Below are 27,401 nucleotides of genomic sequence, written 5' to 3'. Positions count from 1 at the left end.
AAAAATAAAATGACTAGTGATCATCTCTTTATTATTATTGAAAGAATAACTTACAAGTAAAAACATTCAATTTTTGAAAACAGCTTTATATTTATTGAATTTATGCATATAATGTTAGTTGCATTTCAAAATAAAATGGCTGCCTTAAAAGTGATGCAAAATTACATATTTATACATTCTCTGAATTAAGCAGGATTAATTGAAAAGTGGTTATGAAGGCATGACTGCAAGGTACAAATTGAGCCTATTTTTAGTAACTTGCTCTAGCTGAGATGTTATATGTTCAGATTTGTTGACACGAAGCTTTATTGAGAAGCATTACTTATTCCCAATAACTCAAGGAGGAGCCTGTTTTGGGAGGAAAAACAACATGAAGTATGTTTTGTTGAATCAAGAGGATTTTATTTTTAGAAAACTACTAATGATTTTTTCTGAAAAGTGACTATTTTGAAATCTAAGAAAAGTCAAATATTTGATACTTAATGTAATTTGGAACTTGTCATAAAACTACTCAGTTTAGTTGGTCATAATATACTCATTCCTAACTTATTCCACTTTACAAAAAAAGTAAAAGAAAAGCATAAATAAATAAATAAGGAAAGAGAAACAAACAAGAAAAAACATTGGAAACTGACTAGGTAACAATTTATAGAATCAAGGATTAATTTCCACCAATTATGGCATGAATAAAACTAATCAACTAAAATATATTTTAAAAATCAAGAAGATAGTAGGAAAACAGCTCCCTGAGGACCCCTGGAACAGTAATTAGGCTGGCACTCTGTGCCTGTTAGACATTACCATTTTCTTTAATGTTTGTATGAAATGACGCCAATTTATCTTTAAGCAGTTTATCTTTAAGTTGCTAAAGTGATGCAAACAGCTGTCATGTAACAAGCACCAAGAGAGGACCCATTCTAGTTCACAAACTGCCCTGATGCTTTTTGTAAAAAACAATCCACTTCAGGATAATGTGTTGTTCCTGGTTTCTATGTCTCTTTAACTTCTTTAAATCAGAAGCATTCCATAGTCCTTCTTTAACCTTCATAGCATCCTAAACATTTTTTGAAGGTAATATTCCAATGGATTCTATTTTTAGAATGTCTCCCAATTTCGATTTGTCTGGTGTTTTCTCATAATGAGATGTCAAGACATACATTATTGGCAATAAAATCACCAACATGATGCTATGCTCTTCTTATCATATTTCTTCAGGTTATATATGAAATTAATTTTTCCCATCAGTGGTGATTTTAATTTTGATCATTTGAAAGGTAATGTCTTCCAGGTTTCTCTATTGCAAAGGTACTCCTCATTTGCTTTATATTGATATAACATGACAAAAAATCATATTTTGTATATATAGACTATCTATTGTATACATGTATATATACATGTAATTAATCTAAAATTAAGTGTTTTGTGGAGAGATACTTTGAGACTGTGAAAATATCCCATTTCTTCTCCAACATTTACCCACTAGGTTTAGCATCCATTGATGCCTCAAGACTCAATCAAATACAATGTGAAGATTTTCAAATGATAATTTTTTAACATACAATGTCAACCCTTTTCCTTTTATTGGTTGGCACTCTGTGGGAAAATAATAGTGTTTCCTTCTTTTATTCATTCGTTAATTCATGGATTTATCTCACGTGGACCCATGGATTCCTCTTTCTTTCAGTGGGCCATGATCTGTTCCTTTACTTATTTTATTGATTCAGTTTTGCTAATTTTGCTAGTAGGAACTATTCAAGTTTCTCAGCTCTTTTAACATGTCTTTCTTAGCATTTGAGCACTCCCTTATTTTCCTTGTTTTTTTTATCTCAGATTATGAATGGTCATTGCAAATCTATCAAAATATACTGGATTTCTGTATATTATATCCTGTGATCTAGATAAACACACAATTTTACTAACTTTTTTGCAAATATCTTTTTTATTTTCTGCACAGAATAATATCTGTGAAGAAAGACATCTTTCTTTCTAAACTGTATGTATTCTTACTTCTCTCATTGCATTGCTAAGACGTGTAGTATAAGCTTCAAAATAATTTATCAGACCAAGCATGCTTGTCTTTTTCTAGGTATCAGGGCAAAAATATTCAGTCACCTTAAAGTTATTGGAAAGTTAAGGTACATAGTATAAACCTTAGAGCACCCAACAGGACAAAATAAGCAAAAACATATGACTAATAATCTATTAGTTGAAATAAAATAAAATTCAAAATTAAACACTTAATCCAAGACAAAGCATCAAAAGTGGAAAATAGTAATAAAGAACAGATTAAATTTTATGGAAAATAAATTTTATGATAGTAGATTTAAGGCCAAAATATAGATAACAATATTAAATATAAGTAGTCTAAAACTACTATTTAAAGTAAGAATTTTAAGACTAAATTTAAAAAGTAATGTTAAATCAATATAAAGACAAAGATTGGTCAGAAAAAATAGGTTGAAGATAGCTGTACTTCGCCATGATACAGTAAGAGGAACTAAACTAAATTCTTTACAAAACAAACAAACAAAAAACAAAAACACACACATACAAATAAAAACTAAGTGCAGACAAAATATAATCAACAGTGATTTTTTAACCATTGACAAGAAGCTGAGGATGCTGATCCTTGATAAAAGAAAAAATAAAATCTGACTTATCCCAAGCTTTCTCTCAGTTTCCAGAAGACACAGTGAAAGGATAATCCAAAGAAAGTATAACTCTCCCTGTATATTGAGAAATTGGAGATTGGGGCTTAGAAAGGAAAATTTAGCTACAATTGCAGAGCTAAATAGAAGAGAGAGAGCATTTGCACAGAGATGGTGATATGGTATGGCTTTGTCCCCACCCACATCTCATCTTGAATTCCCATGTGTTGTGGGAGGGACCAGGTGGGAGATAATTGAATCATGGTGGCATGCCATCCCATTCTCATGATAGTGAGTAAGTCCCACAAGATCTTATGGTTAAATAAGAGGGAGTTTTTCTGAACAAGCTCTCTCTTTGCCTGCCGCCATCCATGTAAGATGTGACTTGCTCTTCCTGGCCATCTGCCATGATTGTGAGGTTTCCCCAGCCATGTGGAACCATAAGTCCATTAAACCTCTTTCTTTCATAAATTTCCCAGGCTGGGGTATGTCTTTATCAGTAGCATAAAAATGGATGAATACAGGAATATAGGAAGTGTCTGCTTTGTCCTGGCTTTTACCTTTGCCTGTAACACCACCCCAGAGGCTCACATGGCTTCTCCTTTCTCTTCAAGTCTTGCTAATCATTCCTTGTTGATTCCTTAAAATCAACACATATAAATGTGTATCCCTTTCTTAAGCAAGTGATCCCTTTCATCCTTTACCTTTCTGTATTTGTCAGTAGAATTAACCATCTGCTAGCATACTATAAAATTTACTTATGTATTGTATATATTATCTATTCTAGTGATATGATTTGGCTCTGTTCCCACACAAAATCTCATCTTAAATTATAATCAGATTTATAATCCCCATGTTTTGGGGGAGGCAACTCTGGGAGGTGATTAGATCATGGGGTGGTTCTCCCATGTTGTTCTCGTGATAGTGAGTGAGTTCTCATGAGATTTGGTGGTTTTATAAAAAGCTTTTACCCCCTGCACTCTGCAGTTTTCCTTCCTGCCACAATGTGCAGAAGGACATGGTTTGCTTCCCCTTCTGGCATGATTGTAAGTTTTCTGAGGCCTCCCCAGACCTGTAGAATTTTGAGTCAATTAAGCCTCTTTCATTTATATATTAAGGAGCATCTAGCAGCTCTTTATAGCAGTGTGAGAACAGACTAATACAACAAGTGAACAGGTATTTTTGCTTATTGTCCATTGTCAAAACAACTTATTGATTTTTACATTGACTATTGTCTATCTTCTATGGTTTGTTACCTGCAACAATAAGGTAATCAAGGGTCAAAATTTTTTGTTTATTCAGTAAAATGCTCTCAGTGAATTGGGCATTGGGTGGCACAGAGTAAGTATTTAATGTATCTATTAATTTTGTATATAAATGAATAAATTTTCTAAATTTTGCTAATAATGTTAACAGAAGACCCAAAAAGTATAATCAGTAAATTAGTTGTATTTTGAAGAAAAAAATTAATCTATGTAACAAATTAATGTAAAAATTCTCAGTATATACACTTGAGTAATAATCACTGTAACATTTACCTATTTAAAAAGAATAAAATTTAACAGTGAAGGCACCTGAGTCTGGAATTTGTTTCCCCTAAGAAGGTATTAAATTAAAATTCAGTATCTTTAATAAATCTAAAGATATGAAGAAATTTTATTTATTCTTGAGTAATTGTAAAGATTATTTTGCTAACCATAGAATTTATTCAACCATTATCAAATTTATTGGCATAAAGTTTTTGTAATTTAAGTCATTATCATTTTGATATTTGTAGTATCTTTACAACACCCACCATCTTCCCAACCTTGCCCACTTTATTTCCTGAAAGTGGTAGCTGACAGATTTCTGTCTTTGTATCTTTCTCAGACTATCTAGAATTTAATTCGTTTTATTCCTTTTATCAAAGAATCAGTTTTAAATTTCATCTTTTCCTTTTGTATTTCTGTTATGTCTTTATAAAATTTTAGTTTTTCTCTATATTTACTTTCTACTTCTTCTTGTTTAATTTGGTTTTCTTTTCACTTTTTCAGGTAGACATTTGTGTCATTAATTTTAGACATTTCTCCTTTTTCTAATACATACATTAAAAACTTCGTATTTCTCCAAAGGAATCCTGAAGTTGTAGTGTTTTTATTTTTATCCAGACCAAAATACTTTCTAATTTATCTTTTGATTTACTATTTGCTACAAGGCATCATTAGAAGTTTATTATATCTAAATATTTGGGGATTCCATTGTAGCTTTGGTTTTGTTTTTTATTTTAAATTTAATTCCGTTGGGTCAGAGAACATACTCTCCATGATCTAATCCTGTTAAATTTGTTGAAACTTTATTATTTGTTGCCTAACATGTGATGAATGTCAGTGCACTTGGAAAATAAAATGAGTTTTTGCTGGTGATGAGTATAATATTCTATGCATCCTAGAACTTGTTAGGTTATAATGTCATTAAATTTGTAGATATTTTCTTTAAAATTTTTTATTTACTTGTTTAATAATATCAGAAAATAGTTTTCAAATCTTTAAATATATTGTGGATTTGTATATTTTTCCTTTCAATTCTGTAAGTTTTTGGCTTGAGTATTTTAAATGCAGAATTGTTTGTTAATGTGTGAAAAAACATTTTGCATTATCAGGTTCTCTTGATGAATTGGACCAATTACATTGATCTTTATCCTGCTAAAAATATTTCTTGATTTGTGGCCCATTTTGTCTGATATTAATAGAAGTCTTCAGTTTTTATATACTTAGTGTTTATACCATAGAAATACTGCCATCCTCTTATCTTAAAAGGCTCCAGAAATTTGAACTTTCATGTAAAATATTTTCAATATTAATTTATAATATTTTATAACATTACATAGTAATTTTGAAAAAATATTTGTTATTTATATAAAAAGCCTACTGAGATTTTGACTGATATTGCAATTAATCTAGAAATAAATTTAGTAGAACTACCTTCTTAACACTATAAAGCATTCAAATTGTTGAACTTGGTTTATCTCTCCATTTATTTAGGTCTGCCTTAATGTCTCTCAGCACTGTATTGCAGTTTTCTAAGTATCAAACAGAATGGTTCATAGTGGATATTTCTGCATTCTTTCTTATAGTAGGAGGAACCATTTGGTATTTCACTATATTAACTATATTTTTAGATATGTTTATTACTTTTGAAATAATTTGTTTCTCTTGCCTACTTTTCTGTAAATCTTTATTATGAATACATGTAAAATGTCATCAAATGCTTTTCTACTTTTAATAAAATAATCCTATACAAATTTTTAAAATCAAAATGTAGGTCTGTAGTTTTCTGTTAATCTCTACCTATTTTTTTCCTTTAAGGGTAATATGTACCTCATATAATATGCTGTTAGGGTTGCTTCCTCTTTTATTTCTGTTTTATTTTGATTTTATTTATTTGCATAGAATTGTTACTATTTATTCTTTAAAGATTGTGAGAATACAAGAGTGAAACCTTCCTGACCTGGAATTATTTTGTGTGTGAGTTTCAAATTATAGATTTAATGTATTTAATAGTTGCAGGATTATTCATGGTGTCTCTTTATTTTTAAGTGAATTTTGTAAACTCTTTTCTCTCAAGTAATGTGTCTGTTTACCAAACTTTTAAAATGTATTTGCATAAAGTTTAAACACTGTGTGCTTACTATCATTTTATAACCTATAGTATAATTAGTGACAGTCTTTCTTTCATTACTGGCTTTAGTGTTTAGTATTTTTTCTCTTTTTTGTTGAGTATAGCTAGAATTTTTTCATTTTTTAATAAATTAGCTTTTTATTTTATTGATATTCCATTTTGGTGTTCTTTCAATTTTTATTGATTTTTGTTCTTATATGTATTTTATTATTTCTTTGTACCTTAGTACATTTCGTCTGCAATAGAAAAATACCTTTTTGTTGTGGCTTATAAACAACAAAATTTTATAATTTATAATAATATAAACTTATAACTTATAAATTTACTTCTCACAGTTCTGGAGGCTGAGAGGTCAGAAATCAAGGCACTCAAAGATTTGATGTCTGGTGAGGGCCCATTTCCTGGTCCATAGATGTTTCCTTCTCTCTGCATCCTCACGTAATGGAAAGTGCAAGGTAGCTCTCTGGGGTCTCTTTTGTAAGAAAACTACTCATTTACTATCCTTAAAGTAGTATTAATTTAGTACCCTTATAAAAGAGCCCCAGATCTCTACTTTCAGGATCTAAGCACCTCCCAAAAGACCCCATCTCCTAATACCATAAATTTGGGAGTTAGGATTTCTACATAGGAAATTCTAGGAGACACAAACATTCAGACAACAGCATTCTGTTTTGTTTGGGTTTAATTTGCTTTAGGAACTGATTAGATTCTTTTTTCTTTTCTAACGTAAACACATGGCACTATTACATTTATCTAATTTTTTATTTCTAAAAAATTTTTAATTATTATGGATACATAATACTTGCACATATGTATGGGGTACATAAGCATACAAGCATACGATGTACAATTATCAGATCAGGATTCTGATATTCATCACCTTAACATGTATAGTTTCTTTGTGTTAATATTGTTATCTTAATAAATTGACCCCTTCATAATCAGTGAGTATATTTTCGATCACTGGTAATATATTTTGTTCTGAAATACATTTAGTTTGACATTAATATAGTAACTCTAGTTTTCTATAAATATTTTTTCATACTACACACACAGATATCTATGTATTTACATTTATAGTAGAATTTTAGTAGACAGAATTAGATTTCTGATTTTTCATTGATGTGTATGAATGATTTACATGTAATGTAATGTGATTATGAATAAGCTTAGGTTTAAATATACCTTCCTGCTATGTTTTCTATTTATCTTATATGCTCCTTGCTCAATTATTTATCCTTTTTTTACATTTTGTAGATTAAATATGTACTTCATTATTTTTGTTATTTCTACTATTGGTTTACTAATGTACTTCTTTTTTAGGTTCTGCTTTAAGGTTTAAAATATAAATACTTCTGCTTTAAGGTTTAAAATATAAATACTTCTGTTTTAAGGTTTAAAATATAAATACTTCTACTTTAAGTTTTAAAATATAAATACTTAGCTCATCACAGCCTACTTTCAAATAATAGTACATCACTTGATATGCAGTATAATACATTGCCAGTTTTTTTCTGCAGACACACATATACATCTCATAAAATTTTACTTCTGCCTTAGGAATCTTTCTTATAAATGACAATGGAGGATGGCTAACAATGAAATTCTTCAGATTTTGTTCAGTGCTGAGACAACGTTGAGATGAGCAAATTACCTCTGGTGAAAAACTTAATGAGGCACTCTCTCGGGTCACACAAGGCCCAAGTCTTGCACTCTCAATCTCAAATATATAACCCTGAAAGTGAGTAGCTCTTTAGGTTTTGGGACCTAGTTGTGTCATTTACTTTACCCTAGTTCCAAACCTATTTTTAATTTTCTAAAAATAAACGAGCCCTATTTTACTTTAGTGCTTAAAATTTTCTACTTGTTATAAAAATGTAGATTAAGCTGTTTTTTCTTATTTAGTTATTTATGATTGCTCCATTGTCTCCAAGCTTTCATAGTTTCTGAAGAAAATTGCCCGTATTTGTGTGTGTGTGTGTTTCTTTTGATGTGGATTATTTTTTCATCTCTGATGCCTTTTAAGATTTTTCTCTTTATCACTGACTTTCAGAAATTAGACAATAGTTTACCTTGCCGTTTTGTCTTTATTTGTGATTCTAATAACATTTTGGCAATCATTTCTTCGAATTTTTGGTTTTGTTCTTCCCTGCCACATACACACGTACATCCACTCAGTCTTCTTCTGGGACTCCATCTCTTCTTGTATTATGCTGCTTGATATTGTCCAACACAGTGTGGTTGTATTTTCAAATGTGTCTATGTTTTCTGTTTTGGATAGCTTATATTGTTATGTTATCAAAATCACTGGTATTTTTTCTACAATGGTTAAAGTGCTGTTAAATTTATTCATACATTTTTAATCTAGTATACTTATTTTTTCTGTTTTAGGAGTCTGCTTGTTTGTTTTTATTTCTTCCATTTTTATTTTCTCATAATATACATATTTTCCCATCTTATTTGAAAAAATAAAGCATATTTTTAACACCTGAATTAACATGTTTCAACACTAATTATTATGTTCATCGAAACCAGATATTGTGAATTCTATATTGTGTTGTGATGGATTTTGTTGAATTCCTTTTGTATATTTGTATTTTGTTCTCAAACATAGTTAAATTATTTGGAATCAGTTTGATGCTTTTAGAGATTGCTATAAAATTTTCTTAGAGAAGATATAGAGTTGCTTTAGGTTTAGGAATGAGTGAGTTCCATCACAAAAGCAGGATTCTTCCAAAGATTCTCCCTAATAGCTCATATATTACCCTGTCTTCTACTGTGGTTTGTGGCAACAATAATATTTGCAGAGCTTTCTGAGCTTTGAGAATTGTTCTTCAGACCCTTTGTGTTGGCATTTTACCCCAGGCTTCAGTTATTTTCTCTCATGTATTCACAGTTTAGTATTCAATGAAGGACTCAATAATTTCCTGGGAAGGTCTGCAGACACACAGTCATCTGTATTCATTAGCATGGGCTGCTATAACAAAATGCCATAGACTGAGCAGCTTATAAACCACAGAGATGTATTTCTCAGTCTAACCTCACATGGTGGAAGAGGGAGGGGTCTCCCTGTGGCACCTTTCATAAGGGCTCCACTTCCATGATCCAGTCACCTATCAAATGGCCCATTTTTTAATATTATCACCTTGGTGGTGAGAATTTTAATATACAAATTTGGGGAGGTCAATTAGACCAGAGCATAATTCTTGGCAGATAAAAGAAGCCATAAGAAAGCTGGTGTGATCAGACCAGAATGAGCCAGAGGGAAGTTTTAAGATACAATAAAATATTAGGCTAGACTATCAAAGTACTTTGTCATTACAAATTATATCTTTCAGGTGAAATCTACCCAGTCCTTGCTTGTACATCTTGCTAAAGTTTTAATTTTTCCATTAATTTCATTATATTTTTCATGTCTTTCCTATCAATTTAATTTTCAATTATCTTCACTTCTTATACATACTGCTATATATTATTTAATCATTCTGCCTTAAATTCTTTTGTGTACAGTTATAATACTTCAGCCTAGTTTACTAGGAACTCATTATAGTTGTTCCTCTGTATTTGTGGGGTACTGGTTCTAGGAACCCTCAGACACAAAAATCTACAGATGCTCAAGACCCTTCTATAAAATGATGTATAATAGTATTTTATACACCTACATCCACACTGTCACATACTTTAAATCATCTCTAGATTTCTTATGATACCAAGTACGATGTAAATGCAATGTAGATAGTTATACTGTGTTCTTTAGGGGATAATGACAAGGCAAAATTCCATATGTGTTCATATTGTCATAAATGTTTTTCCAAATATTTTTGATCCATGGGTGGTTGAATCCACACATGCAGAACCTATGGATATGGAGGTTCCACTGTACTTTTTTCTGTCCTCCTAACTACATATTGGTTTCCATTTTTGTCTTTATTAAATCTTAAATTGTAGTAATACTACAAATTCGATCTTTTCTATTGTTTCATTTTTTTCTGTTTCTTGAACAGTACTCTGTTTCTGTTTCAATGCATTAGTATCCACTTATTTATGTTTACCAAAATATTATACAGTCAAATAATTCAGGAAGACTTTGAAAATTTAAAGTCAGCAGATTTGTATTAGCCTTAATTATATCATCTGTAATAAATCAGGTTATCCTGTCATTAGGATTAAATATTAAAATCTGTTTAAGACATCTTAAAGAATATTTGAGATATTATATATACTTAATATGGATATTTGTTTTCTTCCCTTCATTTTCTGATTTATTTTAGCCTTTTCATTTGTGTGGTTTTATGTATCTTACAGTTACATAAACTCCTTAGTATCTGGAAACTTGTCTTCTTATTTTAATGTACCATTCATCTCCTTAGCACAATTTCTTACACATATATGTTCTACAAATGTTTATTAAATGAATTAGTGTCAACTACATGCATGCTTTATTCATTAAGCTGTCAAAGGATTGATCTGCTTTACGGCTTTGTCAAACTATAGAACTTTAATTCTTTTGCCATATTTTAAAAATAATACATGTTTAGGTAATAAAATCAATATTCATACTCATAAAATAACAGATTGTAAAAGCATTGCAGGCTAACCACATACATTTTGGAAAAGAGACTGAAATTAATTCTTAAATTCTTTCAAATTCTTCATCTTATTTACTCTTTTTATAAAGTAAATGTTTATCTTGTATTTTAGTTTTAAGCTCTTAGAATCTTCAACAATATAGTTTTTGTACATAAAATATTTAAATCAACTTAATCTATGTACATGTTATAAACTAAGTTCAAGTAAAATTACATAAAATGCAACAATGCATTTATTTTTCTATTCATATTTTTCTAATAAATCTTGTAAGTTTAAATAATTATTTTAGTTAAGGCTATGAAATTCTACCTAGGCAGGTTAGGGGTTAATTTCCCAATTTATATGCAAACTGAACAATTTTCTCTGGGCTCTTTATCATTTCATCTTTCCACTTAACTTTCTCTATTATAACCAAATAATATTTATTGTATTTTGCCCCATTTAAACTAATGAATAAAAATTTCCCTCAGTGTAAACTCTATGTTGATGTGTCAAATAGAATATTTTATTCCCTGTGTGTTTTGAGTAGTAGCATCTTTAATGTTTTATCTATTTAAATTTGTACAAGGCATATTAAACATCCGAAATGAACACAGTACTAATTAGCATAAAGTCAATGTTAGCCTTAGACTTTACAGGTAAGTCTACAGAATACAGAAAGAAAAAATATAATGTCATATGTACTTCTTAAACAGTTGTATCAGTGGAAAAACTGATGATGCATTCATGTTTTCCTCAATATTTAGTGAGGAGAGCAAAAATGAGTAATAGGAAGGCAAGAAAAAATATTAACTGTGTCACTGTAACAGGCACTAGACGATGAGGTCATAGAATGTATTTATCTTTATTTATTCAGAAATTAGCTCCATACCTAGCACATAAACACTCCCATCTCAGGTCTCAGTTCACTTGTGCTTCTGTAACAAAATAGCTGAGACTGATAAGAACAGAAACTTGTTTCTCACAGTCCAGGAGGCTGAAAAGTTCAAGACCATGGTTCTGGCAGGTTTGGCACCAAGTGAGGTCCCAGTTTCTGCTTCTAAAATGGTAACTTGAATGCTGTGGCCTTACATTAGCTAGTTCCCTTCAGCCCTTTTGTAATGCACTAATCCCATCTATGAGTACAGAGTCCTCATGACCTAATTACTCCTAAAAGCCTGACTTCTTAATACTATTGCATTGAGGATTAAGTTTCAAAATAGCTTTTAGAGGGGAGACAAACATTCAAGCTAAAGTATAATAATTCATAATTTTAGAATGAATGAACAAAAAGTCACTTGCATTTAAATGTGAAAAGGTAGATACTTTCGGTGTCAGTTATTTTCTGTACAATTGCCATTATTCCTCATAAAAATTCAGAGCAATCAGTTGGCTTTCAATTAAATTTACACATTAGTTATAAACATTTTAAATGTTAACTCTGTTTCTACCCTTCATGATATTTAATATGTATATTAATTTTACAAGAATTACTTAAATAGTTTTCTTCCAATTTTCTAATTCTCTTTCCCTTGTTGAAATGAACAAACACACAAAATATCAAGTGACAGACAATGCATTGCTAATGTCTTACTTTGGTAAGATACTTTCATTAGTATTTCGAATAGAACTGAGATTTTTATTTTTATATATTTTTTAACCAAACCTCACTCATATTATAGATGATCTGAAGTATTAATGTAATACAAAACCATTGTATTTCTTGGCACAGGGAAAAAATGTGGGTCATGTCAAACACCTGCAATGACAGTAAAATCATGTCACAAATAGATAAGCTAATTATGTTGAAAAATGATTATGCACACACTATGTAAAGCATTGTCCTTTTCCTCTGTTGGAGGGCATTTATTCATAGACATCATGTGCACTTTCTTCCCAAAGGGTAAGGTTGACCTAGAGCCCTATGGACGACCCTTTATAGTTAAGCTTGCCAACTACTTGTCAGAAATGATTAGTGAGAAATGTTGGAAAGAAAATTTCCCCTGTTGATAACAGGGGGCAAATAGAAGATGCCCTGAAGTTGTCATAAGGAATCACATTTTTTTCAATAAGAATATTTTTTATTTGATAATATCTAATATCACAGATCAACCTTTATTTATACATATTCTAGACATGTATTGAACTTGACAGGTTTTGGTAATAGAAAATTCTGTGGCAACTCACAAAAGAGTATGTGTGCATTGTAATCATTTTTATTATAAATAATAACTGTGTCTTTTCTTGATAAAATGAAGATATAATAAATCATGATTTCCCCTCAATCATATCTTTTAGAAACTGAGTTTATGTGTCTTTGGATTTATAATAATCCCAAACTCACATTTTATGTTAAAATACTCATTAAAATGCGATAATTTATTACAACTTTATTTTGGATTATATTCTGAATGTCTTACAACATAAGAGCTAAAGAATGCTATACATTTTTTGAAACAGATTTACATAAGCCTCACCGTCTGTATTATGAAATCAATATTAATGTTGGAGTAACATTTTGATCTACTAGATTCATAAAATTAGTGAGAATTCTTCAGTATTATTTTGAATCCTCTCTTTATATCTCTTAATAATACAGATAACACAGATTTGAGCTACAGGAAAATGTAATATGCATTGTGTTTGAACAAAGTGTGTTATAATTTTGGATGTACGTCAACCTATACTGCATCCCTATGTTGTGTAAGACTGAATATCCTAGATCATATTGGATTATTACAGTCAATAATATTTTACATTAAACATCAAAAAATAATATGGCATTCATTTATAACCCAGAAAAATGAGTAACTCCCAGGAGAAATTTAGTTTTCATTGCTCCTTATGCTAATAACTTTAAAGTTCAAATGCTAACTTTCTATCTCCATTTTATTTAGAATGTATAATAAATCTTTCATGAAAAAAGATGGATTTCTTTTTTTTTTTTTTTTTTTGAGATGGAGTCTCTCTCTGTTGCCCAGGCTGGAGTCCTGTGGCGTGATCTCGGCTCACCGCAAGCTCCACCTCGTGGGTTCACACCATTCTCCTGCCTCAGCCTCCTGAGTAGCTGGGACTACAGGCACCCGACACCACGCCTGGCTAATTTTTTTTGTATTTTTAGTAGAGGCGGGGTTTCACCGTGTTAGCCAGGGTAGTCTCAATTTCCTGAGACTATCAAGGCGTGATCTGCCCGCCTTGGCCTCCCAAAGTGCTGGGATTACAGGCATGAGCCACCACGCCTGGCCTCTATTTTTGAAAGTTACCTTTTGTCATTTTTTTATCTGCAGTAGTGTGGATTAGAAACCTGGCTCAGTCCTACCACTAAAATAATTCTTAAAAGTTGGATGAAACATTAAAAAAATCTTGCTTTAGTGTCACAACGATCAGTCAAGAAGACAACAATTTTACGAAAATTAAGATTTTACCTTGAGAGCATTCTCTGGTCCTGATAAGGATGAGGCCATGTTTCTTGGGATTGTAAAAAGCGGGGGACCACAGACAAAGCTCAAAGTCCAGCCAAATTGGAAGTGTAGTAAGAGAACACTCTTACACTATTGGTGGGAGTGTAAATTAGTTCAACCATTGTGGAAGACAGTATGGTGATTCCTCAAGGATCTAGAACTAGAAATACCATTTGAGCTAGCAATCTTATTACTGGGTATATACTCAAAGGATTATAAATTATTCTACTATAAAGACACAGGCACACGTATGTTTATTGCAGCACTATTTACAATAGCAAAGACTTGGAACCAACCCAAATGTCCATCAATGATAGACTGGATAAAGAAAATGTGGCACATACACACCATGGAGTACTATGCAGCCATAAAAAAGGATGGGTTTGTGTCCTTTGCAGGGACATGGATGAAGCTGGAAGCCATCATTCTCGGCAGACTAACACAGGAACAGAAAACCAAACACCACATGTTTTCATAAGTGGGAGTTGAACAATGAGAACACATGGTCACAGGGAGGGGATCATCACGGAGGGGCTGTAGGGGGTGGGGGCCTAGGGGAAGGATAACATTAGGAGAAATACCTAATGTAGGTGACGAGTTGAAGGGTGAAGCAAACCACCATGGCACATGTATACCTATGTAACAAAACTGCAGGTTCTGCACATGGACACAGGGAGAGGAACATTACACACCAGGGCCTGTTGGGGGTGGAGGGCAAGGGGAGGGAGAGCATTAAGACAAATACCTGCATGTGGGGCTTAAAACCTAGATGACGGGTTGATAGGTGCAGCAAACAACCATGGCACATGTATACCTATGTAACAAATCTGTATGTTCTGCACATGTATTCCAGGACGTAAAGTGAAATATAAAAAAAAAAAGAATGCCCTTTTCTGGGGTTCTCACTAATATGACCTGTGTAACTTGAAAATCCTCAAGACAGAAATTTAAAGTTATCTCATTCTGTTTATAACCCTGGGTCCTTGGTACAAACAAATTTATATAATCCTTTTGGGAACCCTATTTCAATTCTATCCTAAAATTATTTGCATAAATATACTTCCATTAGTTAGGAATTGACAGTAAAACAAAACAAAACACACAGAGAAAGATGGTGCATGAAAAGAATATAGGAGGAAAACAGGGAGATAAAAGAATCACATGAAGAAAGACTCCAGATACTGGAATTATAAGAATGTATAACAAACAAGTTTGAATTAAGTAAGAATTAAAATGAATGATTTAAAAGTTTAATTCAAACAATAGTAAACACACAACTGACACATTCATAATATATTAGAGATAGCTAAAGTGATAATAACCACATAATGTAAAACATAGTTAAATTCACTGTGACTATTAAGAGATGTATAAAAATGAACAATAAAGAGAAAGGATTAAGTGATATGAAAGACAGAATGAAAATGACTATCATATATTAAACTGGAATCTAAGATATTCATTAGTGAAATTCACTGACATACCTAATGAAAGACATCAAATTCTCAGATTCAGGAGAAATAAGACATTACACTCAAGATACATAAGATGAATTCATTCCTCGGCACACCTAAGTTTTTATCATAACCTGTACCTTCAATCATCTTCATTCTTCCTGACCTGATCTATTTTTCTCATCGTATTTACCACCTTCAAACATATGGTACATATCCTATTTACTTTGGGTATCTTATATTACAATATAATCTCAAAACAGATTTTGTTGATTTTATTTACGAGATGTAACCAAAGGGCCTAGATTATCTTTATAGCATAGTATATGTTCAAAATTTATTACCAAATAAATATAAAGTACATTTATGAAAGGTGAAGGAGAATATAAAACAGAGGGAAGATCTTCAGAACTACCACAACAAAATGACACATAACTTAAATGTCAAAATACCAACACTGATTTCTTATCAACAGCAATAAAAAGCAGGAAAAAATTTGGAAAATATCCTCAATGAGTTTAGACACACTTCTATACATTAGAGGTTTATAAAACACAAAAACTCCTTTTATAAATGAGTCAAAATAATGACATTTTAGACAAAGAATAACAGAAAATTTATCATCCAAAAGCACCTTCTAAAGAAATCTCAAAAGACAAATTTCAAACAAAGGAAAATGATCACAGATAAAAGATTTGGGATAAATAAATAATAATGAGAAAAATAGAATATATACGGGAGGTATAAAAAAGAAAATAAAATTTACTTCAATACAAAATTGAAATGTGTAAAGATGTTTTGGTGGGGGTCTCCATTGCTTTTCAGCTTTGATTATTTATTTAAAAAACTCTCAGAACTCAGAGAAGCAATTATACTCATGTTTATCGTTTATTAAAACAAAAGGATGCAGATTCTTATCAACAAAGGAAAAAGATTCTCAGGGCAAATTCCAGGAGACTCCAGGCACAAATTTACAAGTGTCCATCACAGTAGAATCACATGCAGATACACTTCAATCTCCCAGTAATGCTGCATACAACCACATGTGAATTCTTGGCAATTAAAGCAGCTTATTTATTTTTTGATGTCCCAGGTTTTTATTGGTGGTTAATCACATAGGCATGCAATGCCCACGTGGCAAAACTCAGCAAATTCAGCTTCCTTTCCATGATCCCTCTAGAACAAAAGCAGGCTTTCAGCATAAATCATATCTTAGAATAAACGTATCTGGTTAAATTGATACCACATGGTTCAGATAAATACAGCATGACTCAGGGCCTCAGGCATATAAAGTCAGTCATTCACCATAAACCCAAGGCCTCAGATATACAAAAACACTCTTCACGGTAAGACTGTTTCCAGAACTCAGAAGCTAGCTAGTCCTAAAAACAAACCTTACCTTTGAATGTGCAGGGTTGAAGAAACCCTGGCCTGCTGAGTTAACACATTCTTCCCTAATCCATATTTATTGTCCCTGGACTAATCTCTCCTGTAGCAAAACAAGCATATTTTTCTGAGCATCTACATTGAGTACAGCATTTATATGACAGTAACAACAGTAATATTAACATGAATATGCCTAGCATTTTATGGACACAGTGTAGGGTAAAGATTGATTTTTAAAAATTACTAATGCATCCTACAAGGCCATTACATACACTTTAATATTTTGTACAAACCAAATTACTCATTCCTCCTCTCAATTTGCTTTTATTTTTACCTTTTGATAAATCTGTGCAGAACTATTTAGCATTGAAATTAGATAATGGTTAGCTAAATTCTGTTTTCTCAGGCCATTTATTATTCACCCAGATTACATTCTGAAGAGGCTTTAACTCAATATCTTAATACATTTGATTATCAATATAAGCATTATATAACTTCTCTACATAAGATAGTTGAATCTTACCAACAATACCAGTGTAATGTCATATTGCAGTATGGTCATGTTACAATTCAGTTTTATTACAGAAAAAGTTATTAAGAACGATAGAGCTATTTGTTACAGCTACTCAACATAATTGGTTCTTGTCTTTATACCGTACAGTACTATAAATAAGTATTATTACTACTCACCATGATTTGATTATTTCTGGGTTTCTAATGGGTTGTGGACTTAGCCAGTCACCCTGTCTCAGTTCACAGGCCCTAATTGACACTGGTCTCTACTATATGCTGTCATACACCAGGATACACTCCCTTCCTATAGACAAGACACAAGAATAAGAATAGTTTATATCTCTGCTACCTGTGCTACAGGATGTCTTATCCTTATCTATTCTTGGGGCAATGGCAATAATAATGAATTAATATAAATTATGAGTGACCTCAGAGATGGGGTCCCTAAGATTATATAAATGTGTCCTTCTGCATCTAAGAAGAACCATTGCCCTATGGTTATTTAGGCCTCCATCTGCGTTAAAGTGATAAAGTGATGCTATTGAGTCATAATACAAGCTCATTACCGGTGCTGGGTCCTAGCATTATCCATCATTAATTGTTGAGTCTACCTTACCCAGTTCACTAAAACTTCATCATTTTTTCCAGGTTGAATCCCATCCCTTCCTCTCTCATAGATGAGAATTCCCTCTAATCTATTTATTTTAGTTAATAAATCTTCTTTCCTTAAAAGCCATTCATGATTAAAAATGAATTCAGCTTTTCTCACAATGCCTAGATCAGCATCTATCTCCCTGAAGGTTTTTTTCTGTTTGTAGGCCAATGCTTAACCCAAGATGGTTGTTGTCATTGTGTACTAGACTTAACTGGAATGAGGAACCATATTTTACACTCCAGACTATTTGGTTCTCAGTATGAGGATAAAAATAAGAAAAAAACAAAACAACAAACAAACAACAACAAAAAACAAGAGTTCTCTACAATTTTCGAGAAACAGAAGAGGAAGAAATGTTTCTCAATTCATTTTATGAAGCAAGCATGACACTTAAACAGAATAAGACAAAGATGATAAAAAAAGAAAAGGAAAAAAAACAAACAAAACTTTAGACCAACATAACCTAGATGCAAATCTGCAAATCTACAAGTATACCCTAGATGCAAAATCCTCAATAACTTGAATACGACACTATGTAAAAAAGTGACACACATGACCAAGCCGTGTTTATTCCAGAAATGCAAGACAGTTTCAATATTTAAAAAAATCTAATAATATAGTTCACCATATTAATATTCTAAAATAGGAAAACACATGATCATTTCAATAAATGCAGGGGAAAAAGACAATATTCAACAGTTACTTGTGATAAAAATTCAGCAAACCAGAAATAGCAGAAAATTCCTTCATCTTGATAAAGAGCATACAAAAAAATCCATCATATTTAGCTGTGAAACACTGAATGTTTTCCACATGTATGCTCAGGAATAAAGCAAAAATGTTTGCTTTTATCACTCTTTTTCAACATAATACTTAGAGTTCTATCCAGTGTGTAAGGAAAAAAAGGGAGAATAAAATAAATGCAGATTGGAAAGAAATAAGTAAAACTGTTCCTATTTGTAAATAATATGATTATATATGTAGAAATTTATACAGCATTTAGGAGAGAGAAGGAATGTAGAAAAGGGAGAGGAAGGGGGAGGCAAAAACAAAGGGGAAGGAGAAAGTAAAGGAACAGTGGAAGGAGAAGCAGTGTCTCACAAAATTAAGAAGGATTTAGCAAGATCAGGACAAAACGTAAAAACAGGTTTCCTGATATTTTTAACTGCATTTCAATAGCTTTCCAAACATAAATATTTTTCAGGTAGTTGAATGCTTTGGTCAATTTCGAGAGTGATGGAAGGCTGTTTTAATGAATTTATAGTGGCCTTTTGTGTAGAGGATTTGCTGGTCTTTTCAAATGACCATAGTCCACATTGATGGGTTGATTGAATATGGAAACCATCTTGAACTCCCAAGATAAACGCCAATTAGTAATGATATATTTTACAAACACACATGCATGCACACACATACACACACAGACATGAGAGGATTTAATTGGATAATAGTTTGCTGAAGTTTTTGAAATCTAAATTCCTCATCTAAATACATATTTGTCTACAGGACATTTTCTTGTAATGTCTTTTTTAAGGTTTTGGTATGGGGATAATGGTAGACTAATAAAACATGTTGAAAAGTGTTTCCTCTTTTTTATTTCTTAAAGTTTTGTGTAAAGTATAAATTATATCTCCTTAAATATTAGTAAAATTTGTCAGTTAGTTTATCTAGGTGGGTATTAATAAATTTAAAACATATATATAGGGATGTTCATGTTATTGCTTTCTTTTTGAGTTTGCCTTAGTAGTTAGTCTCTTTTGAGGGATTTGTACATTTAATCTAAATTAACTAATTTACATTTATAAATTTCATCATGGTATTCATTTAGTTATCCTTAAACTGTTGTAGGACAATGGAAATGTTACTTCTATCATTCTTTTTTTTTTGTTTATTTGTTTTGAGACAGAGTCCCGTTCTGTCGCCCGGGCTTGAGTGCAGTGGCCTGATCTCCACTCACTGCAAATTCCACCTCCCAGCTTCAAGCAATTCTTGTGCCTCAGCCTCTCGAGTAGCTGGGAATATAGGCATGAGCCATCACGTTCGGCTAATTTTTGTATTTTTAGTAGAGACAGAGATTCACTATGTTGGCCAGGCTGGTCTGGAACTCCTGACCTCAAACGATCTGCCTGCCTTGGCCTCCCAAAGTGCTGGGATTACAGGCATGAGCCACCACCCCCAGCCACTTCTATCATTCTTAAAATTTGTAAATTATTTATTTCCTATTATTTTCTCCTTAGTCTGGCCAGAGATTTAACAATTTTATTGATCCCTTCAAAGATCTAAGTTTAGTTTAATTTACTTAGCTATATAATTTTTCTCCATTTAATGTTGTTTATTTCTTCATTAACCTTTATTATTTTCTTCCTTCTGATTGCTTCAGAATTAATTTGTTCTCATTTTTATAATAACAAGCTGGAAGCTTTCATCATAATTTCAAGGTAATTTTTCTTTTCTAATGCAAGCTCTTAATGGGATAGATTTTTCCCTAAACACAGAAATTTCCACATTTTGATATGTTACACTTTTTTAAATTTCTCTTACTTTTGGCTAGGTTCATGTTTAAATATACATATGTGCAAGAATATTTTCCCTTGATTTATATGGATTTAGAGGTTAAAAAAAGGCAAAAAAATTATTTTGGAAATTTCTAGGAGACTTAGTTCACCATAATTGTTACATAATTGTGCATATGTTGCAAGTAATGTATTAAGAAAAGTATTTATATCTGTATACATTTGGTCCTTAATGATGAAATTAATGCACAGTTGTCTAACTATAATAATTTCCTTATAATCACACTAGTTTTCCTTTGGTTCCACAAGATGATGAACCTCACTTTAGTGTGACCAAGCAAAATGAGGTACAAAAACAGTCCAATTAATGTGAAAATATCTCAAATTCATATGAATTTTTAAAATATTTTATATGTAAATTAAATTAGAAATTAAATATATAAAATATTTTATTTCAGAAATATTTGCTTGCCTTTTGGGAATCAAAGTTCAAAATCTTCTATTGTCATCTTTAAATAACTAATTTTTAAGTTAATTTCTACTTGGTTCTATGAAAATACTACCACACAATATGGACATAAAGAAAACATTTACAGAAAAATTGTCCATATGGACACATTTTAAACAGATGATCTAATTAGCATGGTAGCCACCAAACTGGTAAATAAACAGTTTTGTTGATTTGCTGCTTAATCAGCATCTATTCAGAATTCTGTAATATTGTTTAGTAAAACAGTTTATTTCAATCCATAAATGTATTTTATAAATTTATGCCTGGTAAACTTCCAGGTAAACCATCGAAATATTAACTGTTTTCTACAAGTGATGGTCTTTTTTTTTTTAAGCTACTTTCTATAGTGAATTGATGAGAGTTAATGAAGATTAAAATGCTTATTCTGTAATAAAAGCCAATGCTGGCATGCTGATATATAATCTCTATAGATCAAAAAATATTCATGCCTTATTCTCAGATTTTTAATAGTGGCACTAAGTGGTCTTAAAAATTTATTATTTAGACACCTTATCCTATATTTTAAAAACATTTTCTTAGTATACTGTGGATGTTATTATACAAGTCATATAATGGATAGAGAATTTCTTACGTAAATTTACAATATAATTTTTTTAAATAAAACTTTTGTGAAATTATTTTCAAATGTTATAAATGTTAATCAGTTTTGTTATATTGGTTCCAATATTTCTCATATATGGAAAATGTCATTTTCCCTGGGAATTAATATTTGGAGCTGGTGTTTAAGAAAAACCATGTTTGATGTTGGAAAATGCTATGTCCGGTATAACTATAGATGTTTGGAAAGCAGCTCAGTTATGCTAAAGATAAAGAAAGGAGAGAAAAATGACAGAAGGGGAGGTTTGAACAAAACAAAATAATACCTGAAAATGTTGAATGGATATGTAATATTTGTGAATGTTTATGTTCTCTATTTCACCATTATTTAAACATTTATATTTTCAAAGGGAGACAATAATTATATTTTGAAATCATTTTATTTTTTTACAGAGTGCTGCATTTTTTCTTTTCAATTTCAATTTGGTGAGCAAGCAAAATCGGTCAGAATATTATACATAATTAGGTTTCCTTTTTGAGATTTGTTGAAACTCTTTATCCTTTATGTATGTATTTCAAGTAGTATAATAAAAAAGAAATATAAAATGATTAGATATACATAAAAGTATTGTAGATTATGTTTTTGATATTTTCTTTCTTTTAATATATTTTGCAGATATAGCCATTCCAGATTATGATTTCACAAACTAAGATGATTCTCAGTAGGGAAGCGTTACTGCATGTCGTTTTCATCAAAGGGAGCTTAGTTTATTTGCCTGTCTGAATATTGACATTATATTACTAATTTACACATTGGGGAAAGGGTCAAGAGAACTCCAAATTTTTGTTGACTTGATATTAACCTGAAAGGGGAATGTTAATAACTGACAAAATATTTCCACAGTAGTTAGACATCAAGATAAAGTTGTGTTTTTTAATCTACTTCATATTGTTGAATTATTTAGATAGATAGATAGATAGATAGGATTGATTTATTAGATGTACAGGAAATAGAATTCACTGGTGGGCTGAGTAAAGAGGGGGCAGCTCTTTTCTAATGCAGGGCTAGCTGCTTGTCCAGGGGCCCATGATTCCAGGGCTATATCTAGCCCCACAGCCATCCAGGATGAGTTGTTTCTCAGCCACCAAGTCTTAAAATGTATATGCATTAAACTTAGTAAAATTGCACTTCTTTGAGATGTGGCTTTTTGGGCATTCACTGAACTTGAACTTGGCCCTAAATAAGTTCATCCTTGGTATGGATGAACATGGCCAATGTGAACTCTGACCTCTGGGTCCTGAGGCTTTCCAAAGGCATACTACATCCGGTCTTAAACCTAGACTAGGGAAAGCACTAGATCCGAGACATAAATGTCCAATGGCTGTTGTACACAAGGAACAGGCTGCTGTACACTACCTAGGATGCTGCTGTTTGCAGCCCTTGCACACCAGGCCCCATGAGAAAAAGAGCTGTGTGGCTTAATTGATTGTAGAAATTATTTTATATATTAAGTTTTTGGGGAGTAGTATCTTTTATTCAAGATAGCTAAATGTAATTTATATTAGACCATATACAGTAAGTTGTAAATTATAGAAGTTGTGCATATCAAAATCATACTCAGTGGGCAATATGGCCTTTAATATAATAAAGTTTATTGACAAAAATTAAAATAAAATCATGTGGTTTTGTAGTGCTCTTGTATGTTAACTAAAACAAATTAATAAAACCTATGAAACCCATAATCATTTAAACTATCTACTTACACTTTGGGAGGCCAAGGTGGGCAGATCACCTGAGGTCAGGAGTTCAAGACCAGCCTGGACAACATAATGACATCCCATCTTTACTAAAAACACAAAAATTAAACAGGCGTGGTGGTGCATGCCTGTAATTTCAGCTACTCAGGAAGCTGAGGCAGGGAGAACTGCTTGAACTCGGGAAGGGGAGGTTACGGTGAGCCAAGACTGGGCCACTGAACTGGGCGACAGAGGGAGACTCCATCTCAAAAAAAAAAAAAAAAAACCACAACAAAAAACTATCTACTTAAATACCATTTTATTAAAATAAATATTTTTCTGTGATCTTAGGTTTGTTTTGTCTCAACACTATAAATAGTGTATTGGTTGTCTCAAAGTGTTAAATAGAAGCATATTTTAGGGCATTGCTGAAATATCTACCAACTTTTCTTACTCTAAGTTATGCAATGGTGTATTGATTAATGCATTGGAACTTGTTAAGCAGTTTGTATGTCTGAAAAACCAAGGTTCAGAGGTATGTAGGTTAAATCCGGCAATCAAATATCACAGAGATATTTCAGAATATTATTTTTGTATACCAGAAAATACTTTTCAAAAAAAAAAAAAGTAAGGTCATTAGGAAGGCATTGTAAAGTTAATCTTTTCCAGCAAAGCTATTACATTTATTTTTCTGGAGCTCTTTAGTTATAAAAAGCAGAATGTAGTTATAGGATCTAGTCAGCATTAAATTGATTAAAAAAATGAAAAACACTTTCATCTTTAAATAGATTAACAATTAAGCATGTTGTTTATGTTGTCCCACTGATATACTAGAATATGCTACATTCTTTGGGGCATCTTTTAGACCATAGGGCTAAAATGTTGAGAATGACAGAGAGACAATTAGGAGCTCAGCACAAAGCAAAATGTTATGAATCAGGAAAATAAATAGAACAGAGATCAAAATTAGATAGATGCAGAATTGGAATGATACTGAAAACAAGAGATGGAACTGCAGAAAATACTATGGCAGATCATTCATTCCTTTGAATGGTGAAAGTAGTTAATACAACGGCTGACAATTGAAATGAAAAACCAGACCCAGATGAAAAAATGCAAACCAGTAAACTTGCCTAGTCCCATTATTTTACTCAATTGTAGGAAATACATGGAAAAAAAGTTGTTCATTATGGATCCTTTTTTCTAACGTAGGAAGAAGGCACCACTACATCTTTCTCATTTTTTTTACTCAAATGTTTGTGTTTTCTCATAGAACTTACAATTTTAATTTATCTTTCAATATATGTTGCCCGTACAGTCTAGTTAGATTCATAGTTGCAATGTTTCATGTGGTATATTTGCTCCCTATGGAATAGAACATAACATTAATCTCTAGATGTGTCACTAGAGAGATTTGTATATATCCACAAAAATCTACAGTTGCAACAAGAAAAATTATCCAGTGAAAATTTTGTGATATGAATGTCTTTCAACTTTTTAAAAAGTAAAGAGAAAATGATGAACAAATATGAGTTGGAAATCAGAATGAACAAATCGTGAAAATATAGTGTACCCCTTCAAAAAGTTTGAAAATTAAGAGAAATTGGTAGAACAGCTGTATTATCATTTACAAAAATGTTTCTCTACCTATAGAACAAACAATTACTTTGTCCTCTAATTTTCAAATAACTTACAGAACATTTATTTCCTACTGTCATTGGAATGGCAGGCTAGCAGGCTGAGTTCATAGCCCAATTGGTTCCTCACATCAAAAGATTCCCTTTATTATTTCCTTATTTTCTCTTTAATTCTGGCACTCCTTCATGATTGAACTTACAGATGTTCTTTTGTCTGCTAATCTTCGAGTAAGCCTGTGCTCTCTATAACTTTCAGTCTCAATTTCCTTCTACCATCAGCCTTTTGTCTAAACATTCTTATTCTGGTTTGTTTCCCTGAACTCTTGACATCAATCTCTGTTCCTTCAATATTATGTTTCTTCTACTGGAAGCAACAGATTTCCCAGATTTCACCCATTTTCCATTTTACTCTTCTCAATCTCTGTGTCTGAGTTAATTGCTTCCTTAGGTTTCTATGTAGGATTGTCTCTCCATCAGTAACTTTCCTATATCGCCCATGTTAACGTACCTATATCGTTTACTGAAAAATTTCTCCTTTAAAAAAAAATCAATGTGTTTGTTTACTTTCTTAAAATGCCCTCTTAAACTGCAAGGTCAAAGAAGGTAAGTATGATATTCGGATATTATATATCTACCACTTAATACAGAAAATATTCCAGCACTTGTATAGGTAGTATAAGACATAATTTTAGAACTCTAAAATAAAAACTCACAAATTGAAGTTAAATATCCATTTCCCACTGTTATCTCCTTTTCCTTTTAACACACTGATATCATTTGGATCTGTGTCCCCACCCAAATCTCAAGTCAAACTATAAGTCCCACTGTTGGAGGTGGGGCGTGTTGGGAGGCAATTGGATCATCTAGCGGTTTCTCTTAAATGGTTTAGCACCATCTCCTTGGTGCTGTTCTTGCGATAGTGAGTGAGTTATTGTGAGTCTGGTTGTTAAAAGTGTATAGCACCTCCCCACTTCTCACTCTTCTTCCTGCTTCCAGCCATGTGAAGTGCTGGCTCCCCCGTCACCTTCTGCCATGATTGTAAGCTTACTGAGGCCCACACCCAGGCAGCCCCAGAACCTGCTGGGTTCTGCTCTCTGCGACTACCAAGCCACCGGTGAAGAGAGCAGCCCACGGACACACAGGCAGACCTGTCCTCGACATCCCAAGAGCGCCACTTTTGGGGAGACTCACCCGCACACTGTCCGCGCACGCCTGAGGCTGGGATCCCGCGCTGTCTCCCCGGAGATCTGTCTGAGGTTTCTTCCTCCTGATGGACCCTCCGCGAATCCCGGCCTCCGGAGACCTTCCTGTTAACTGCCCTGGCCAGGACTGGTCTCAGCCCCGACTCTGACCAAGCTCACACAGGGTGCCTGCTTAGCCAAGTCTCAAGGACCCATCCCCGGGCAACGGTGGCGGTCACTGTGACCACAGCGGCGGCTCGGGCCTCGCGCATGCTCACTGGCGAGGCCGACTCACCCGCCCCACGCCCCCTTACTCCGCAGAGTCAGGCTGCAGACCCTTTAAAAAATGGCGGCGACATGGCGGCTGCGGGGACTGGGGTGGCGGTGCTGGAGGTTGCGGCGGGGACTGCGGCGCAGCCCGAGGCAGAGGGTGGGAAGAGGACTACCAGAGGGGCCTGCGGGAGACTCAGGGTCGGACCCATAGGAGTCCTGTCGTCAGGACCTCCTTGATCGGTCTCCTGCTTCTGTTCCCGGTGAAGGAGGACCTTCGGGGTGCTGGCTGGGCTGCGCGGACACCTCTTGGGATCCGATGATGGCTCCCACCGGCTGATCGGGAATGGGGTTACAATGCAGTGAGGCGGAAAGGGTCTCGCCGGGGCACGGAAAGATCCCCAAGGCCGCAAGGCGTGCTGTCGTCTGCAACGGCACTGACCCATGAGCCCACTGCCTCCCTCCTTCCTGGGTGGAGCAGGGGCCTGCCTTCATCTCCAAGGCCCGGGGGCTCCGGCATCCCGACGCAGCTTCCGGCGACATCGGCAAAGACAGAGGCGAGTCCGAGCTGGAGCCCGTGTGACCAAACGTGGCACTGACGTCCCCCAAGAGCACATGCAGAGAGCGTGTGTCTTTGAGGCCGTAGGGGGC

At 33.1% G+C, this 27,401-nt stretch overlaps 1 long non-coding RNA gene and 1 pseudogene across 2 annotated transcripts; both read right to left on the bottom strand.

Annotated features, from left to right (window-relative positions):
- Positions 1–75: 75 nt before the first annotated feature.
- SNHG27 (small nucleolar RNA host gene 27) lies at positions 76–26,720 on the bottom strand. 2 transcript variants are annotated; one of them, NR_125884.1, is made up of 3 exons: positions 26,491–26,720; positions 17,866–17,992; positions 76–348 (listed from the first exon to the last, which is right to left on the bottom strand). It is a non-coding gene; the product is annotated as a small nucleolar RNA host gene 27 (long non-coding RNA). The 2 variants fall into 2 exon arrangements; NR_125883.1 differs by lacking the exon at positions 76–348 and adding an exon at positions 16,659–16,965.
- On the bottom strand, positions 23,309–23,418 carry LOC124900177 (uncharacterized; annotated as a pseudogene).
- Positions 26,721–27,401: the final 681 nt, after the last annotated feature.

This window comes from Homo sapiens, chromosome 4 (genome assembly GCF_000001405.40).
Source record: "Homo sapiens chromosome 4, GRCh38.p14 Primary Assembly".
In the NCBI taxonomy this organism is placed as follows: Eukaryota; Metazoa; Chordata; class Mammalia; order Primates; family Hominidae; genus Homo; species Homo sapiens.
This window is presented reverse-complemented; position numbering and strand designations above follow the sequence as displayed.